This window comes from Homo sapiens, chromosome 20, assembly GCF_000001405.40.
Source record: "Homo sapiens chromosome 20, GRCh38.p14 Primary Assembly".
In the NCBI taxonomy this organism is placed as follows: domain Eukaryota; kingdom Metazoa; phylum Chordata; class Mammalia; order Primates; family Hominidae; genus Homo; species Homo sapiens.
The window spans coordinates 52,945,284-52,965,269 of NC_000020.11; the positions used below are offsets into that span (position 1 = coordinate 52,945,284).

General features: G+C 41.1%; 1 long non-coding RNA gene across 1 annotated transcript; it reads right to left on the reverse strand.

The window, feature by feature from the left end:
- Positions 1–9,278: 9,278 nt before the first annotated feature.
- LOC124904932 (uncharacterized) lies at positions 9,279–11,956 on the reverse strand. Its single transcript, XR_007067655.1, has 2 exons — positions 11,868–11,956; positions 9,279–10,969 (listed from the first exon to the last, which is right to left on the reverse strand). It is a non-coding gene; the product is annotated as an uncharacterized LOC124904932 (long non-coding RNA).
- Between the last annotated feature and the right edge of the window lie 8,030 nt (positions 11,957–19,986).

The window sequence follows — 19,986 nt, forward strand, 5'->3', positions numbered from 1 at the left end:
TAGACAGGAGACAAGGATCACAACATTCTCCTTTTAGCAGGAACAATCAATCACCCAGTTATTTTGGGTGCAAAATAATACCACAGTCCTGTATGCTGCTGATGCCACTGCTCCTGGACACTGGGGAAACTACTGTGAGTGAGTTCAAATGTTCTCACAGCTATAGATTCAAAAGTCCAGAGCAGGCACATCCAACTAGCCAAGTTTTGATTTCGTGGCTGCCAGAGGGATGGTAAAGTCCAGTCTTTCAACTTTTTACAGTGGAAGGTAAAGGCACAATCTCTCACTTACTCTACATGCAATGAGAGTTTCTCTAACACTGGAAAGAGAAATACAAATGACAAAGAAATGACAAGGTCTTTGTCAGAGAAACAGAGCCAACAGGGTAGATAGATGACAGATGATAGATAGATAGATAGATAGATAGATAGATAGATAGATAGATAGATAGAGATTTATTATGAGAAATTGGCTCGCGTGACTATGGAGGCTAGGAAATAAAGCAACCTTCTGTCTGCAAGCTAGAGGCCCAGGAAAGCTGATGGTTTCATTCCCGTTCAAGCCTGAGGCCTAAAAACCAGGAGAGCCAATGATGTAAGTCCTAGTCCAAAGGCTTGAGAACCAGGAACACCAATGTCCAAGGGTAGAAGATGGATGTCCCTGCCCAAGCAGAGAGAGCAAATTCACCCTTCTTCTTCCTTTATTCTGCTCAGGCTCTTGACAGATTGGCTGATGCCCACCTGCACTGGTAAGAGTGATCTTTACTCAGTCTAATGATTCTAATGTTAATCTCCTCCAGAGATATCCTCACAGGTATATATGGAAATAATGTTTTACCAGCTATCTGGACATCCCTCAGCCCAGTCAAGTTGACATGTAAAATTAACCATCATCGTTCCCTCTACCAATCATGACTATATTGTGATCCTTTTAGAAAATTATTATCATTGCCTTTTTTAACCTTTGCACTGTTTATTCTCTAAACAGACACAGAGTTTGTTGCCAGCTATCTCCCCAACCAAGTCTCTTCAGGCCAAGAACAGGTATTATAAAATACTTTGTGCATGACTTCATGGTGACTCACTCACAGTAGGTACTTATGAAGTAATTTATAGCCTAATAAATGCTGGGAATTAATCCTGTTGGCCCCTTTTCCAGCATTTAGTGCGACCTATAATGAAGAATTTGAGTCTTTGGAACAAATTTCAAGTCATTTCATAATTATTCAAAATTATGTCTATTTAACAACATATCCTGTGTTTACTTTTAAGCAGTGGAAGAGTGCTTATAATAGAAACAATAGAACAATTCAGTATTAAATATATCTTTACATGTGCTGTTTAGCCACTTGAGGGGAAACAATTTTCTAACAAGTGGCAATGGTCAAGAAAGCTATGAAATTTAGGCCAGTTGTCACAGAAAATAACTTATTAGTTGCTAAGCTACCAGTCCTAAAAGGAACTCAATTAGAGGAGACAAACAGCCTTAACTAGACCTACTTTATTGGAGAGTAGAACGTTGTAGCTGTCAGGTGATTCTGGTGGATGTGTGGCAGGCAAAGTGATTGACAAACTGGTCTTCGCTTGGCATGAAATTTGGCTTTGAATTAGTGAGTGACTGACAGGCGGGTGTCATCTGAAAATGTGGATTGTGTCTTGGAGGGGCTATTTTGCAACAAAGTGATTGACACATTACAGAGATTGTCCCATAGATGGAGAAAACCAAATAGAGATTTGTTTTGACAAGCATTTCCTTTTTACCTGTTCATTTTGTATACAGAGAAGAGAGAGAAGGGAAGCCCTCATAAGTGCTAATTGATTTCTCCAGTGAATATCGGAATGATGGTGGCCATGGAATGCACAGAAAGAGACCTGGACAGAGAGGAGTCAAAAGACAGGTGTTAAAGTTGAATCTTATATATATTAAAATTTTAACAAATAACCCCGTTTTTTACAGAGGCTGTCACATTAATAGAATATAAGTCTAGAGGTGTTGGCAGCCATCTTTGCCACCTCATGTGAATAGGGTTGCCAGATCAAATACAGGATGGCCCATTAAGATGAATTTCAAATAAAGAATGAATAATTTTATTATGTGTCCCAAATATTGCATGGGATATACTGAAACTTAAAAAAAATCATTGTTTATCTAAATTCAAATGTATCTGGGCATCTTGTATTTTTATTAGCTAAATCTGGCAACTGTATGTGCAATAAACCTGCTTAGGCATGAAGCCCATACATGGAAAACTGGAGACAAGAGGTGGCAAGAGACAGATTCCTGGTGTTGTCCTTTGCACACCTGGATCCAGCTATGCCCAAAGCTTACTCTAATCATGCTCCTCTCAGATTCAAGCAGCACACACACACACGCACGCACACGTGCACACACACACACAACACTGTTTTACTAAACTCGCTTGAGTTACTGAGTTTAGTTGCTCCCTGGCAACCAGAGAACTCCTTCTACTTCACACTTTTTCTCTTCATTTTAGTTACCGGGTTATATTCTAATTGGAGGCAGCATTATTTTATCCAATACAAGGTAAGCTATTTTCTGGAAATGTGTCTGACTGCCATCAAAATGGTCATTTGTCTTCTTGAATTACAAACAGTTTTTCTGGTGATTCCAAACTTTCTTCATCCTTCTCCAACTTTATTGACCTCCACTGCTATTTTTCTGAAAGCTAACAGTTAATACTTTCCTTTCAAGCCACCCATTTTAAAAAGTAATTTAAAAGAATTATTTAGAAATTTTTAATTATTTTTAAATTATTTAAATCTTAGATATTTATAAAATCTTATAGAGAAATTAGAAGCTGAGGAACAACTTGGAAATTTTATTGTCACTTGTTGCTAAAAATATTGAATAAATAGCTCTGCCCATTTCTTGTCTTTTTTAAATGTAGTTGACCAACCATCTTTCTGGCCAATAAAATGTTTATGTGTTACTTGTAAGCTACCTTGTCTCACAAAGTATTTGAGCGTGCTCTGAACAAGAAAAAAATAAAAAGTGGGTTGTCTTATTAATCTGTGCTTTTTGGATGTAAGCAACAGAAACCAACTTACTTGACTGATATAAAATGCTGTTATGTTTTATAAAGGTAGGAATGTCTCAAGGAACACAAAAGACTGGGATACAGCCAGCCTTTAGGAAGAGACTGGACTCAAAAACTAGAAAACCACTGAGGCACTTTCTCTCCCTCCCTCACCTCCCTTTTCATTTCTACTCTACTTTCTTTACTCTAGACTTTGATCACACTATAGACAGATTTCCTCCGTGCTTAGTCTGTTTGGTGGAATATGGTGAAATATGGTGACCCCAGATTTACATGAGTCAGGTTCAGTGACACAAACTATCAGTCCCAGTCCTCAGGAGACAGAATGTGATTTATGCAAGTGTTCTTGCTCAATCCACTTGAGGAAGTGAGCAAGGTCACATGATACAAACATGGCTACCAAGGATCCATCCCTGTGGATTGCAGCCCATTTTCAGAGTTAAGAGAACATATAACTCCTAGAGTTATGTAAGTTGCCAGTGTGATAGTTATTAAGCAATGACTTCTCAGCTCTCAATCCCTCTTCTATACTCTGTTCTGTGAATCTGGAGGCTGGGATGCTACAAATTCCATAGCTCTTGGATAGGTAGGCATAAAAGGTTGTCTAAAACAGAATTTTAGCTAATGCCATCCTGTCCAAGCTTGGCTGTGAGAGCAAGGTTGGTGGTCCAGATACCTACACTAAGAATGGTCTATGGTCCCTTGAAATGGTATTTGAAGTACCTGGACTACAACACTGTACCTGGGCTATGATTCCAAGTGTCTGTCTACTGGCTAATATGGATCAATGGAATATGAGTAGGAAATATGTAAAAAAAAATCAAATAAATCTATAAATATGAATTTTTAAAATAATCTCAAAGTGTCTCTAATGTGTGTATATTTAAAGAATTTTATTTCAGAAAACTCACTCTGTTGAGTTCATTTTGAAGAGTCTAAAGGAAGTGGATGGACAGCTGTGTTTGTAACTTCAAGTGCATTAGAGGTTAAGGCAAGGTAGAGAGTGATGAAGGCTAAAGCCCCCTGGAGAAGAATCTCCAGGGACAGAAGCCTAGGTTCAAATCCTGTCAGTGCCACTCCCTAGCCCTGTGACATTGAACAAGTAACATAACCTTGTGTATCTATATCCTCATCAGCAAAGTTGAGCTAATGAGTGTACCTGACACATATGGTTGTGAAGGTTGGATGAGATGGTTCATTCAAGATGGTGAGCTAGCTATCTTGGCCTGGCTAACTCTTTGGGTCTGGACTAAAATAAGTACTCAATAAACGTCCACATTATCCTACTTATTCTTACTTATCTTTTGGGTCTTGAGGTCTCTTGAATTTTATTTCAGGGGCTATGGGGAGGCAGTATGAGGAATTAAGCCATCTATGCTAAACTCCATGTGTGTACTGAATGACTATGACCTAGAGAAAGGAGAGAAAATGATGTGGGCACCATAAGCACAGAATTCAACAAACTATGATGACTTTGGCCGTAAGTGCTGCTTTATAGCTCTCTATAAAGCTGCCCATCAACAAGCTCCAGTCAGATGACCTGCAGTAATGAGAGTATGAAGAGAGCAGCATAGCAGAACATTCCACCTGATGGAGACGCAGATCACAAGAAGGGCATTCCCATAAAGCACAGGGTGCCTTTCAATCTTTTTCTCCTCCTTCTCATCCCTTACCCTTGCCCCTCAATTTGTGGTATCACTCTCAGTTTCTAGCTCCCATTCATTCATTCATTTTTTCAATGAATCACGTTTTAATTTACTCATATATTCATTCAACTGTCTGCTCATCATTTTTAAAATTATTCATATAGAAAATATTTATTGAGCTAATTACTGCAGCTTGAATTTATTGGGCTCTTTGTATATGATGAGTTCTTAGATATGTATGATAACAATAAGATAAACAGCATCAACATTTATTGAGCAGTTACTCTGTGTCCAGTGCTGTGATGAGTGTTGTACATGCATTATAATATTTTGTCTTCACAAAAGTCATCTGAGATAAGATGCTGTTATTACAGTATTTTTCTAGGTTGGGAGAAGTATCTTAGAGAATTTAGGTAAACTGTTCAAAGTCACTTAGTTAGTAAATAGGGAGCCCAGGCTTCAAAATCATGTGTTTCTAACCTAACACACATGTTCTTAACCACATGGGGCAGGCTCAGCAGATCTAAAACTAGAGTCTTTATAATCTTATCTAATAATGAATTCATAGGGAAGGTGGTACTTAAACTGTGTTATAAATTATGAAACAGGGGACTAGTAATAAAATGACTTAATGAGGTATTCATTCCAATTGAAAACAATATAGTAAACAAAACAACAAAGCAGAAACCCACAGAATGGCCCAATTTTCCTGGCATAACTCATCAAAAAAGTATTATTAATAATATATCCATTTGCCAAAGCCAAATGATGAGTTACAAATCTTTCCTTTGAAAGGGATAGGAAATCCAACTCAAGAAAGCTTGAAGAATAAGAGGACATATGGACTTCTATCACTATAAAGGTGAAGGGCAGGACCAGCTTCAGGTACAGCTTGATCTGGTGACATCAGGACGAGCTTTGTTCCCTTCCATTTTTTTCTGTCTATTTTCCACAGAGTCAGCCTATTCTTCAGGCCTCAGATAGGTTCCCATTGCCAATTCCAAAGTCTTCCATTTGGTAGCAAAGAAGCCATTCAAGTCTTCATAGGTTCACACCACACAGACCACAGAAGGAATGGCTCTCCTCCTATGGCTGTCAAGGAGGAGCAAGTTCCCTCTCTTTCCCCAAGAAGCTTTAACAAACTTTTCTACAGATTTCGTTGCTTCTAAGTTTCTGCCCATCATGGATCAAATTATGGTTGCCAGAAGGGTGAGATGAGATGAGATTATTGACTTTAGCCAGTCCTGAGAGCTGGGGAAAGGGTCAATACCACAAGAATGGCTGAGCACGGGACAGAATTAACTGCCCCAAAGCAAACTCCACGTGGTATTCTCTTACAGGGGAAGATGAATAGAAGTTAGGCAGCAAAGGACACTTGAGTCCACTGCACCAAACAATTCTGGATTTTTTGCTTAATTATTGAGTGGCTAAACATATCTTCCTGAAGCATATAACAGCTCAATTTAGCACTCTACTAAACTGGAAATTTTACCTTATTCATTACCACATGGAAGCATTTTATAAACCAAATGCAACAACGTTTCTTCACAGGCATGAGTATATGTTTCATTTTTTTTCCCATCAAAGTGCTTCAGAAGTCCCAACTTTCATAATGTCTCAAGTGGAATTATTGTCATTATTTTCCTTTATATCAGCTTCATATCTTGCACAAATGAAGGTATCAACATGCACCATTTCAATTAAAGTCAGATTAAATACTGTGTTTCTTTACAGGGATGGTATTTCAATTGCAATTCTTTCTGGGTTGTTTATTTGACAAATGTGTTTGGCATGTGTAAACTGCTGTGATCTACTTTTCTTTTTGTGACATTTTGGGCATAGGAAAAACTGCATGGCTTAGTGGATGACACAGTTTGCTACAAGTGGCAATATAAAAATTGGAAATTCTTGAACGATTTAACATTTCCCCTTCTAGTTACATTCTCTATCACAGAGGAGTGATATTCTGGGGGACTGGAACCAATCAGAGGATAGGAGTATAATTTTTACAAAACAAATGTATGTATAAATTATCACTCTCTTCTCTCTTCTCCACAGATAGAGATACTAATAGATCCAGAGCGTGAGATGCTGATAGGGGTGTCATCTTCTACAACAATTCATCTTGTCAGTGAAAGGAAGAATTAAGCAACCTGAACCATTAAGATACACAGTTAGACTTCAGCATTATCCAGCACATCTCGACTACACTGGTGGAAGGAATGTGTGTTTCTTGTGTAGAAGAGAGAGCTGGTGTGTGCATGCATGCATGTATGTGTGTGTGTGCGTGCATGCGTGTGTGTGTGTGTGAAAGAGAGAGAAAGACAGAGAGACAGAGAGGGAGAGAGAGAAAAATAGATGGGGCAGGGCATATGATCTCAAGTCGGCCTCAGTCTTCACCCTTCCCTCTTGCCTCGGATCCAATGCATTCCATTTGTGGTTACCTTCTTAGTCTCAACATGGACTTGAGTTCCTGGGCTTTTATCTAACCAGAGCCACCTAGACTAATAGTCTGGTGACTCTTCAATCCAATACCCTTCAAGCATTTGTCCCACATACCATTAGTGTTTTAGTCCATTCTCACACTGCTAATAAAGACATACCCAAGACTGGGTAATTTATAAAGGAAAGAGACTTAATTGATTCATTGTTCAACATGGCTCTGGAGGCCTCAGGAAACTTACAATCATGGCGGAAGGGGCAGCTAATTCTTCATATGGCGGCAGCAAGAAGTGCTGAGCAAAAAGGGGAAAAGCCCTTTATAAAACCATCAGATCTGTGAAAACTTACTCACTATCATGAGAACAGCAGCATGGGGGTAAGTGCCCCCATAATTTAGTTACTTCCCACCGGGTCCCTCCCATGACACTTGGGGATTATGGGAACTATAATTCAAGATGAGATTTGGGTGGGGACACAGCCAAACCATATCAGCTACTGAGGGTGGAATATGATTTTCTTTAAATTTTTTTTCAGAATCAGAATTACAATTTTACTTCCATTGGTTGAAAATGAGTCAATATTCTTTTTTTAAAAAGTAAATTAAAATATTTCCAACATTTCTGCAGTTTGTGTTTCTCTTTGGAATTCTTTTGTTAGTTTTTCTGAACCAAGCAGCTTCTTGGGAGTTATATTAAAAGGTTTAATATTCACAATATAAATCACATCCTTTGTAGGTTACAGCACACCACTCATTACATGGTTCTGGTATTTCTGCTGACCACAACTGCCATCTTTGAGCCGATTGTAAATGCAGTGTATGTTAGTTACAAAATCTTAGCAGAAGCATTTCAGGGCTAATAAATGTGATGTTTTTGTATCTTTGCCTGGTTCATATTACAGTGGTATATGTTTTCATTAGAGAAGAACCAACATAGATTTCTCAACTCCTTCCATTAGTGTTCCTAAGCTCATTAGAGATTGGTACCCTGGGTAGCTGCCCAGCCAACCCACTTCTCAATCCACATCTGTGGGAGAAGGCGAAGGCATGAAAGAGGAATCACTGACTCACAGAATGTGTGAGCTTAAAGACCTGACACTGGGAAATTTGCAAAGCAAAATTTTTAAAGTATTTCCATATTTTATTAAGTATTACAAGCTAAACTTGATTGTCTGTTTTTATTGCATACTCAGTTGCATGTAATTAATTCGGGAGTCAGCAAACTATGGTTTATGGCCCAATCCAGCCAGAAGCCTATTTTGTTAATAAAGTTTTATTGGAATACAGTCATGTTGATTAATTTACATATTGCTTATGGCTTCTTTCATACTACACCAGCAGAGTTGAGTAGTTGCAACAGAGGCCAGTATGGCCTGCAATGGCAAAATATTTACTACGTGGTCCTTTAAGAAAAATTCTGTCTATCTCTGATCTAATTCTCTAAAGTAGTAGAAAAATTTATTACTTTTTAAATATAATTTATTTGAATGTTTAGATGCCCATGATATAAGCTCCTGTACTTCCTCTTCAGGACACTCGCGACATTTGCAATTCTCTATTCACTGGACATCTTCAGATTATAAGTTGCTTGGGGACTTCTACTGAATCTAACTGTATCAATCAAGAATGCTTTTGACAGCAAGTAACAAAATACTTTTAACTGAGCCTTAAAAAATGAAGACTTGCCATATCTCACCTTATAAAAAGCCTGGATGAATAAGTCTAGATTCAACACAGAAGGCCAAGGATTGTGCAAACCATCATGGCCCCAGGCTTTGATTGTCCCTCCTGCTCCTCAGTGCTCATGCTAATTCTTTGTCTTCATGCATGTCCACCTCATGGTTGCAAATTTTTTGTTCCAGCTCCAGGCATCACATCCTCATACCAACATATCAAGCAGAGAAGAAGGGGCATGAACAGGAAACTTTTTTCTTCTAAAGCTCTGATATTTTAACCTAGGAAGAAAACCACCAGCAGACTTCCCATTATATTTCATTTAGCAGAACGGATCACATTACTTCCAACCTTTTTCACTGCTGTAATCACAGAGCTAGAACTAAACTGGAAGGTAGTGGACAATCCATAACAGTGTGTTGAGTGGTACATGGAAGAATGGATGAATTATAGACAAAAATCTTTCAAGTTTAGTTTAATTAGGTTTCCACAATGAGCAACGAAGGAAGGCAAGAGAGGAGATCCTTGATAGCAAAATTATTGGGGAACATCACTTTATCTTAACGTTTTTATTTTACACATAAGGAAAGTAAGACCCCAAAGTCGGAAGTGAGGTATTATAGTGAATTTTTATGATTTCTGATTTTCCAGCATCCATGAACCACCTTTCTGGTAGCATCTCTTTAATCTGAACAACCCACTTTCTCCAACGATGTAATTCAAATGAAGCAGGTGGCAGACCTGGCCCCGGGAGAGAGCATCTGTCCCTGAATCATCACCATTCTATCCCCCTGACCTCAGGGCTGCGTTCAGAGATGGGCACATGAACCAAGGTAACCCAGGGAGGAGGAGTGCAGAGCTTTGGCGAGTGCTGCCAGGAATGAGGCTGCTGGTGATCATTGTGGGGGCAGCCAGGCTGAGAGTGAAGCCCTCACAGAAGGAAACTGGAGCTCTATGACGTCATTGATGAGCACCTAGATGTAACTGTGCCTGAACTTGATATTTTATCTATTATAAATAACAGAAAGCCCAACTTGAAGCGTTCTAAGTTTTTTGGCTCATTTATACATCTAGTCATAAGATAGATGTACTCGAGTGTGTTTATTCAGTGGATCAATGGTGCCATCAAGATCCTAGGTTTTTATTTCCAGGCCTCCTCATAGTTATGAGATAGCTGCCAGTAACAATTTTTTCCCTCCTAGATCAGTAAATAAAAGCTCCCAAGCCGCATTTCTGAGATTCTGCTCCATTGGGCCCTTTCTTACATATGAACCAATCACTGTGATCAGTGAGGGAAGGGAATGCGCTGATTGGCTTAAGCCCTGGAGCTGGGGGTGGGGTCTCCTTCTCTGGAAGTACAGAAGTCAAATGAGAAAGCATTAGATACCCACAGGAAAATCTGAGTTATATCAGAAAGGATTGATGGCGTGAATGCTGGGAGGAAAAACAGCAGTGTCCATTAAAACTATCAACTGCTGGACTTCTGGGTTATATGCAGCCAAATTTTTCCTTTTGTCCTTAGGCCAATTTGACTTAATTTTCTCTCCTTTGTAACTAAAGGGTAGTTATTGATGGTGATAAATGCTGTCACTGGGAATGGAAGTCAGCCATTTCTCAACCATACCACCATATAGGCCATTACAACCCAAGTCTACTCCCCTTCATTTTCTCCATGGCTCCTATCACATCCTAATATACTAGATAATTTATTTTATATATTATCTTCCTCTTCTCACTGGAGAGTAAGCTCCATGGGAGAAAAGATTGGGCTCTGTGATTTTATCCTGGTGTCTATAACAATACCTGCCCCAAACAATGTGCTCAGTTAATATTTGCTGAATGAATGAATGAATGAGTGTATAAATAAGTAACATCTATGTATGTCAGAAGAGGAAGAGGCCTCAAAAATCATCTGGCCCACTCTCTACAGAGACTGCACTGGAAACCCAGGCTCCTGATGGTAAACCCAGTGTGGTCCCCATTCCTCCATCTTCCATCACAGCAATAGGAATTCCCCGTCTTCCACCAGCCAGCATCTTCTCTGTCCAAGGCGTCACCTGTTTTCTTCAGTTTATCTGTTTTCTTCGAGTCCTTGAGTAGTCACACTTCTTCCTGGCTGTATATTTGAATTCCGGTTATTTTCATTTATAACTGAAAAGGAAGACACCAATGACCTTTGCTGGATTACTTTATCCACTAAGGGCTTTACCCGGGCTCTATGCCTGCATCTTTTGTCTCCATTCATATCTCTCTTCAAGGGCTTCTGGAGGTCTCTCTCCTACATTCCCAAACTCTCTGATATGAGTCAAAGCACATCTCAGTCTGACTCCAGACAGCACTTTGTACCAATGGTCCCCTGGGCTGACTGGTTGCAAGTGGCTCACCTGGGCAGTGGAGGCATCTGGATCTTAGACAGTCAACGGAGGCATCTCCAGAGACTTCTGATGTCCAGATGGGCTATGTTTTGAGACTCCTTCTTGGCTAGGGACCAAGGAAACGCCAGGCCTCTCAGGCACAGATGGTGCCCAGGTGTGGCTGGCTCAGCTGGGCTCCACCTTGGAACTCCTAATGAATTTTCCAGCTGGGGTGGGTCACAGCCCTGGTGTTCTCTTACAACCCAGTAGGACTTCTGACCTCAAGAGTGGTCAAGTAGGGTTGATTTAAGGATTTGATGCTGCTCTGAAATCCCAAAATTCTCCCCTTCTAGGAAATCCCAAACTGTTTTGGGCCATGAAGAACATTATGGAACAGGGCATTTCATGCAAACAAGCAGCTACCCAAACCATTGCCCTTTGTGAATTCAACAATCAACAATTAATTGAAAGGTTGAATGTTAGGAAATTTGAAGAAATATAGGTATTTGTTAAAACTACATTTTAAAAAATGTATTCAGGTCAGGCACAGTGGCTCACGCCTGTAATCCCAGCACTTTGGGAGGCCGAGGTGGGTGGATCACTTGAGGTCAGGAGTTTGAAACCAGCCTGGGCAACATGGTGAAACGCCGTCTCTACTAAAAATACAAGAATTAGCCGGCCGTGTTGGTGCGCACCTGTAATTGCAGCCACTTGGGAGGCTGAGGCAGGAGAATCTCTTGAACCCAGGAGGCAGAGGTTACAGTGAGCCAAGATCAAACTCCATCTCAAAATAAATAAGAAAAATAAATAAAAAATATTTTCAACATATTCAAATTTTTTAATTTGAAAACTCATTCTGTCACTTACTCATTGTGTAGCATTGAACAAGTTACTTACATCAGTGGTTCTCAGATGGGGTTCCTGGATCAGCAGCAGCAGCAGCAGCAGCAGCACCTGGGAACTTGTTCACGTGAACATCTTGTGACCCCAGACCAGATTTACAAATTCAGAGCCTCTGGGGAGGCGAGCCAGCAATCTGTGTTTTAACAAGCCCTGCAGTTGATTCTGATGCTTGCTCAGTTTTGAAAACCACTGGTTTAAACCATCCAAACTGTGTTTCCTCTTATGTAAAATGGAAGTAATAATACTTGATCTCGTAAAGTTGCTGTAAGGATTAAATTCAATAGATTTTACATGTCAAGTATTCAGGACAGTGTCCGGCACTTAGTATGTGTTCAATATAAGACAGCTACAATTAAAGTTATTACTATTATTATTGGATTTCTTTTCTGGGTGGCCAATGAATCAGTCTATAACTTTGCGTGTCTACCTGTGAAATAATAAAGAGGGAATATATTTTAACATTAATCATTATAACAGTAGCTAATGTATTGAGCTCCTCTCTGTGCCAGACACTTGGTTCACTACCTCACAAACAAGTGTTCAACCCTCATTAGAAAAAGCACTAAGCAAATGGTGCCATTATTGTCCATCTTTTACAGGTGAGAAAATAGATTTGAAGAGCTTATGTTAACTTGGCCAGAATCATACAAGTCGTGAGTGGAAGAACCAGGAAAAGAATTCAGAGTGAGATTCTGGAGCCCGGTCTGTCAGTAAATCACCACACGACCACTCTGAAGAGGTGTGCAAAAGGCATGACAGAGGTAGCCATTTTTTTACCCACCATGCTATTTTGAAAATCTCTATGAAATCAGATATTCACCACAACACATATATTAACTGTATGGCTATTGATTAATGATAGAAGGCTCTCAATCAAGTTTTTTCTTAAAATGAGTTTTTGTTGGTTTATTTTATTGTATTTATTTATTTTTTTGAGAAACCAGGGGCAGAAAAGAGTCTGTTACTGCCGTCCTCTGCAAGTCCTCCAAGGAGTTCTCCATGACTCAATTCCTGCCAAGTCACATTGGCTATGCAGTCACGAGGGGGATGATTTGTTGATGACAGATCTAAAGACGGTCCCGCATCTGTAACCAGAGCTGTTCCTTCTGGTTGCAGTTTGGGGCACTGATCACTGAGACCAAGGGACACATTCCAGTGTCCATTAGATGAGAGTCAACTGGAAAAAAAAATGCTTTCTTTACATACTGAAGGTAAATCTTCAGTAAAGATTAAAAGGAGGAAATATAAACATGTGACCTATAATTATTGCTAAGTATGTGTTAGCAGTTGTATTTGTTAATATGGGTTTGGGGCCCATGATGAATGCCAAATTTATACCATTTTTCAATACCACAAAATTTTCTGACACCTAAAATACCAGTGACATCCTATAAAGCAATTTATTAACATGGATGAGATTATATGTACATCAAAGGAATTTCAGAACAAGCTGCTGAATTTATAAAATGAATATATTTTAAAACTCATCAAAAATGGTATTGCAGGGTAAGTATATGTTTATTCAGTGCAAAGTGTCCATTTTATCCTAGAGAATTTGTAAGGTTACAAATAGGCCAGGAACAAAAAACCTGTAGGCTTTCTTATTTGAGTGAAGCCAGTAACTTCGCCTTTCATTTGAGAGTTTCTGTCTAAATCTTAGAAGCAGGACCTCCGTGATATCACAATATGTTCAGTTTAGCATAAAACTTCGCTGTGTCCCTAAAATGACAGTATCAACAATAGCACCACTAAGCAAACACTCGTTTTGGCTACTGCCTTTTATTTTATTTTTCCCCCCTCTTCTTAGCTCCACCCAGCTCGCTCTTGAAAGGCCTTCTGTTCTGTCAGCCATAATGACATCTGCTGGCGGACACAGGAAGTCATAAATCTGTAGGTTCTCTCTCAACCAAACCTTGTTAATGCTGCCATTTATCACTGGGGCTGGGGTGCCATCTCTGGAGAGCTGGACGCAGAGAGTCCATTTTCTCCCATACCCCTTTCCCAAGAGAGCAACCATTTTAAAAACAGCCACTTTTTCATCTCGCATTTGCAGACCTAAATGTCAGGCAGATGCAAACCCCACTGTCAATGTGCAGCTCTTGGAAAGAAGCCATGATTCCAGGCAACAATAGACTCGACTTGATGTTTCAGGATTGAAGCAAGGCAGTTGTGACTAAGCTCTGTCCTTCCTCATTTTAAATAGGCCCCTGACGGCTTGGAGGAGAGGGATGGAGGATTCTGTCCGTCCAAGCCCCTCTTCTCCAGGACTTTTCTAAGGGCAAAACTTACGACAGGGAGAGTTGAAAGAGGATTATTTAAATTCAGAGTTACTTTTGTTCTGAACTAATGAAAGATGATATGTGGGTTTTATTTCTTAGAAGTCCATGGTGCCCTAAGCATTGATTCAAGACCTCCACCTATGACAGATATTTTCTAGCTTTTGCTACTCAAAGTGGGGTCCCTGGATTCGCATCCCCTGTTAGAGCCTGTCAGAAATGCGGCATCTGGCCGGGCGCGGTGGCTCACGCCTGTAATCCCAGCACTTTGGGAGGCTGAGGTGGGCGGATCACGAGGTCAGGAGATCGAGACCATCCTGGCTAACACGGTGAAACCCCCGTCTCTACTAAAAATACAAAAATTAGCCAGGTGTGGTGGTGGGCGCCTGCAATCCCAGCTACTCGGGAGGCTGAGGCAGGAGAATCACTTGAACCTGAGAGGCAGAGGTTGCAGTGAGCTGAGATCGCGCCACTGCACTCCAGCCTGGGCAACAGAGTGAGACTCTGTCTCAAAAAAAAAAAAATGCAGCATCTGAGGCACCACTCAAGTCCTACTTTATCAGAACCCACATTTTCCACAACATCCTCAGGTGTTTCCTATACACATGAAGGTTTGTGAGGTTGTGCTCTACATTGAGGTTCTCACCTTGACACTGTTGGCATTTAGGGCCAGATCATTGTTTCTTTGCAGGCCTCTTTCTTGGGCACTGTGGGATGTTTGGCAACATCCCTGGTCTCCACCCACTAGATGCCAGTAGCAACCCCTGAGTCGTGACAACCAAAAATGTCTCCAGACTTGTCAAGTGTACCCGGGAGAGCAAAGTCACCCTTGTGGCAACTCAAAAGTGTGGTCTGTGTACTCGCAGCTGCTGTGTCATCTACGAGCCTGTTGGAAATACACCTTCTAAGACCCCACCCCAGACTTGCTAAACCAGGAGCTCTAGAGGTGAGGTGCATGAATCTGTCTTAATGCCCTGGGAGATAATATGGGTGCTAATGTTTAAGAACTGAGGCTTCTTAAATTCTCAGTTGCTGAATGTAAGCAGGGAAAAGCAATGCAAGAAATACCTGGATTTGGGGGATATAAAACTCACTGTGGCTGCAACACTGTCAAGAGGGAGTAATGCATGGTTGTTAAGAATAAAACAACTGGAGGCATGCCAGGTTTGAATCCAGGCTTCCCAATTTGCTATCGCCATAACCTTGGGTAAGTTACCTAACCTTCCTGTGCCTCAGTTTCCTCATATGTAAAATGAGGACAACAAAAGCACTTTATCAAAAACTGGTTTAAGGACTGGGTGCGGTGGCTCACACCTGTAATCCCAGCCTTTCAGAGGCCAAGGCGGATGGATCACTTGAGGTCAGGAGTTCAAGACCAGCTTGACCAATATGGGGAAACCCTGTCTCTACAAAAAAATACAAAAAAATTAGCCAGGTGTGGTGGCACACACCTGTGGTCCCAGCTACTTGGGAGGCTGAAGCAGGAGAATTGCTTGAACCCAGGAGCTGGCAGTTGCAGTGAGCCGGGATTGCACCACTGCACTCCAGCCTGAGTGATGGAGTGAAGCCCTATCTCAAAAAACAAACAACAACAACAAAACTGTTTTAAGGATTAAGGAGTTCATATTGTAAAGTGCTTAGAACAGCGCTTGGTACCAAGTGCTTTGGAAATGCCAGTTGCTATTATGATCATGACCATCATTTGCCTGTCTTTCCCTCAATGTTTAAGTTCCCTAAGAGCCACGCAGGTGCTTTCTTTTCTGCCACATCCCCAATACCCAGTCATGCACCTGGCACGGAGCAGGTGCTTAATGAATATGAGTGGAGACAGTGGGTCGGCCTGTGGAGGGAAGAGGACGCTAGCAGGAACCCTCTGCAGCAGGAACTTTCTGCTCCATTGGCTTGAACTTGTACTCTGTTGTCTGTACTTCCTGCATGAGGACACCAGCTTCCCTGATCGGTTTTGTAAATTGGCGCCCTTGCAAATGTAGGGGATTGAGCCAAAGTGAATGTTATTCTTCGGCTCAGATTAGATTGGACCTCTGATATATCTGAAAACACTCTGTAAACAACAATCAACAAATGTTTATAAAATAATGAAAAAACTAAAAATTGGGGAGTACTTTCTATGTATCAAGTATAATGCTCAGTATTTTATATTTGCTCATGTGAGTCTCTCTCTACTGGTAATAGTCAGTGATATAATTATTCCCATTTCACAGATGGGAAAACGGAAGCCCAGAGAGGCTAAACAATTTGCCTGAGGTCTTAGTAAATGGTGAATTTTTTTAAAGTGCTGCTTTCTTTGATTCCAAACCCAAACTTACCTTTTGTCATGAAGTCTACCTGATCTGTACACAGTGATCATATGTCCTAAGACTTCTGGGACAATCCTAATTTGAAACCTTCTGCCCCCATTTTATGCTTAACACACTCATAAATGTCAGACCGCATGTCTTTTATTTTGTTTAAAAACTCAAACTGTGATGATAATGAGAGCTCTGCGGCCCTACTAGAGATACAATGGGGAAAAGGAAAGAGGCCCCTGCTCCTGAAGGAGCTCACTTTTGGGGAAAGTGAAGATTGACCAAATCAGGGAATACAAAAGACTTGTAAGCAAGTGCAAACTACAGATTATAAACAATAGGACTGGACAGGAGAGAGCAACCAAAAGAGGCATGGAACTAACATTTTGAACTCACTGGTGCACTTGGTAGATATTTATTGAAGGTCTACTGTGTGCCTGGCATTATGCCAAAAAGTAGAGGTGCTGCAGGAAGAGGACCGTCTTGTTCCTTCCCCTCAGAAAGCTCACAGTTTAGGGTATTCTACTCCAACAGAAGTTGCCTGCTTGCCCATTTCTTCACACACCAACTCTACTAGGAACTGCCAGCACCCATCTCTTTTGCCTCCAGGGAAGGCCAGAAGTGGCCCTCACCCAATGGCTGGCAGGAGTAGGTGGATGAATACCCCAGCTCTCTCACCCTTTAGGAGAGACATCTCGAAAGTGCAGAATCTACACTACCTCCCAGCATTCCTAGCAGGATTAAGCTCCAGTGGCCCACAGTGATAACTTGCTTGTTAACACACCTGTACCAGCCACCTTCCCTTTCTTTACTCACTTTCCTACTCCCCTTCTGGAGTTTTCTAGAATCAACTCCCAAACAGACTACTTGCACACAAATCTTTATCTCAGAGTCTGCTTCTTGGGGAAGCAAAAGCAAGACGCAATCTTTCTAGAAAGAGAGTTTGCAACAGCCCTAGACTATTCAACCATGTTAAGCCCATGGGTTCCTTAGCCTCCTGGGAGTGCCCAGTAATGGTTAAGGAAAAAAGACAAGCTGTATTGTTGCCTTCAAGACAAGACGCTTTGACATAATCCTAGCAAGCAGGGGTAGAATCTCATGAAATTTTAAGGACAATAGGATGCTTAATGCCTAATCATAATAGATAAGACATGCTCTGGATAAGACAGAAAGGTGTTCTCAGAGCGAATTATATCCTTCTCTATTTGCTTCTGAAAGTTGAGGGGCACCTTTGGGCACACAGTTCTAATGAGTCCAGGAAGTAGAGCTTGATGCACAGTTGAGATGGCATAAAATATACCAGAACTTAAAGGCTGCTTATCACATGGTTTCCAGGCTGCTCCCGTCCTTACATTCATTTAATGTCTTCCTGTGGTTAATGAAGTTGAGCAATGGATTACTGGGCCAGCGACTTGGTTTGGATTCTTCAGGAGCAGCAAACACTGTCACTGACTGTAAGTAGCCAACTCCAAGGGAGAAATGTGATATATGTTAAATCTAACAGCTCCCATGGCCCCAATCGGCCCAGTCAGCAATCATTCCCTTTAAAATATACATAATGCTTAATTGCTGTTGCAAAATTCTACACCTAACCAAATCAAAATAGTTCTAAAAACGAGTGCCTAGTAACTCTTGGAGGATTTATTCTTAGAAGCAAGCTTGCCAATGCTTGGGCATTCCCGAATTTTATTGTCATCAACCTCACCTGTTTTTAGAAAGCAAATTTGCACCCAGTTAAATCAGACATAGTTTCTCCTGGGTTGGTTGTAAGTAAATGAATTGCATTGATCAATAGCTGGAAGAATAAAGTTCAAACTTGGTATGATGACTGACCTCCTCAGTGGTCTATTCCCAGTCCATCTCTCCTGCCTCATTTCTGCTTCCCTCTCTCTGGCTGCTTCTCTCGATCTCAGTTCTAACAGTTGCATCTTTCTATTCCTGAAGCTCAGACATCTCTTCCAATTTCAGGGCTGGGATCCTGATTGGGTGCTTCCAGATCTCAGTTTAAATGTCACCTCCTCCCAGAGCCTTTCCCTGACCCCAGCCCTAACGTGGGCTCTGCCCCACCCCCGTACTCTCTATCTCAACACTCTCAACACCCTGCTTTATTTTCTTCCTGTCACTCTCCATGATCTGGGACTTCCTCTTGTTTTACTCTCCCCAACGTGATGGTGGGGATTTCCTGGGAAAGTAGAAAATAACGAGAGATTGCTACCTATAAGTTTTCACAAAATACTTGCTGGGAAGAGGGATATCTTGAACGAGTTAAATGACATAAGAGGAAGGCATGACTTACATCCTCAAGGGCAACATCGTATGGTACACTGGCTCTCAAACTTGGCCGCACATTGGAATCTCCTGGGAGCTTTAAAAAATACTGTCAACTGAATCCCACCCCCACAGACTGATGTAATGGGTCTGGGGTAAGGCCTGGACACTGGAATTTTTTAAATCACCCCAGCTGGCTGAAATATGTTTGAGAGCACTGCTTTTTATACTTGAAGCATTATGCGCATATACAGAAGGGCACAAATTCTAAGTGTGCAGCTGAATTAACGTTCTCTTATTGAACACACTGGAGTAACTAGCACCCTGGTTAAGAGCAATCCCAGCCTCTCAGAAGCCTCCTTAGACCCACCCTCCAAAGTAACCATCACTATGATAGGCAAGCATAAATTTGTTCTCTCTGCTTGTGTACTAATACATTTGGGATCATAGTCTACCTTGAGACTCTTTGTTTTGAAAAGATACGGACCAGAGAAGGATGCATTTCAAAAGATCCACCCAGGAAGACTTCTTGGAAGAGGTGATATTTAAGAGAGGATCTGAAGGAGGCAATAGACAAGAGGAAAGGGGAAAAGGGAGGGAAGTTGGTGAGGGGAAGACAGCATCAATTGAGAATGAGACACATAAGCTAAAATGTTATCTCCATATCTAATGAAAACCCTATTGGAGCAGTGACTCATACAGTAATCCCAGCACCTTGGGAAGCTGAGGCGGGAGGATTGCTTGAGCCAAGGAGTTTGAGACTAGCCTGGGTAACACAGAGAGACCCTGTCTGCAAAAATAAAATTAATAGAGTGTGGTGGCTCGAACCTGATATCCATGCTACTTGGGATGCTGAGGAGGGAGGATTGATTGAGCCCAGAAGCTTGAGGCTGCAGTGAGCTATGATCGAGTCACGGCACTCCAGCCTGGGAGCAAACAAGATCTTGTCTCTAAACACAAAAGAAAAGAAAAGAAAACCCTATTGCGCCAAAGGTATTTTTAAAAGACCTTCCTTGCATGTATCCTCAGCTTCATGTTCAATCCTTCCACAGATTTTTAAT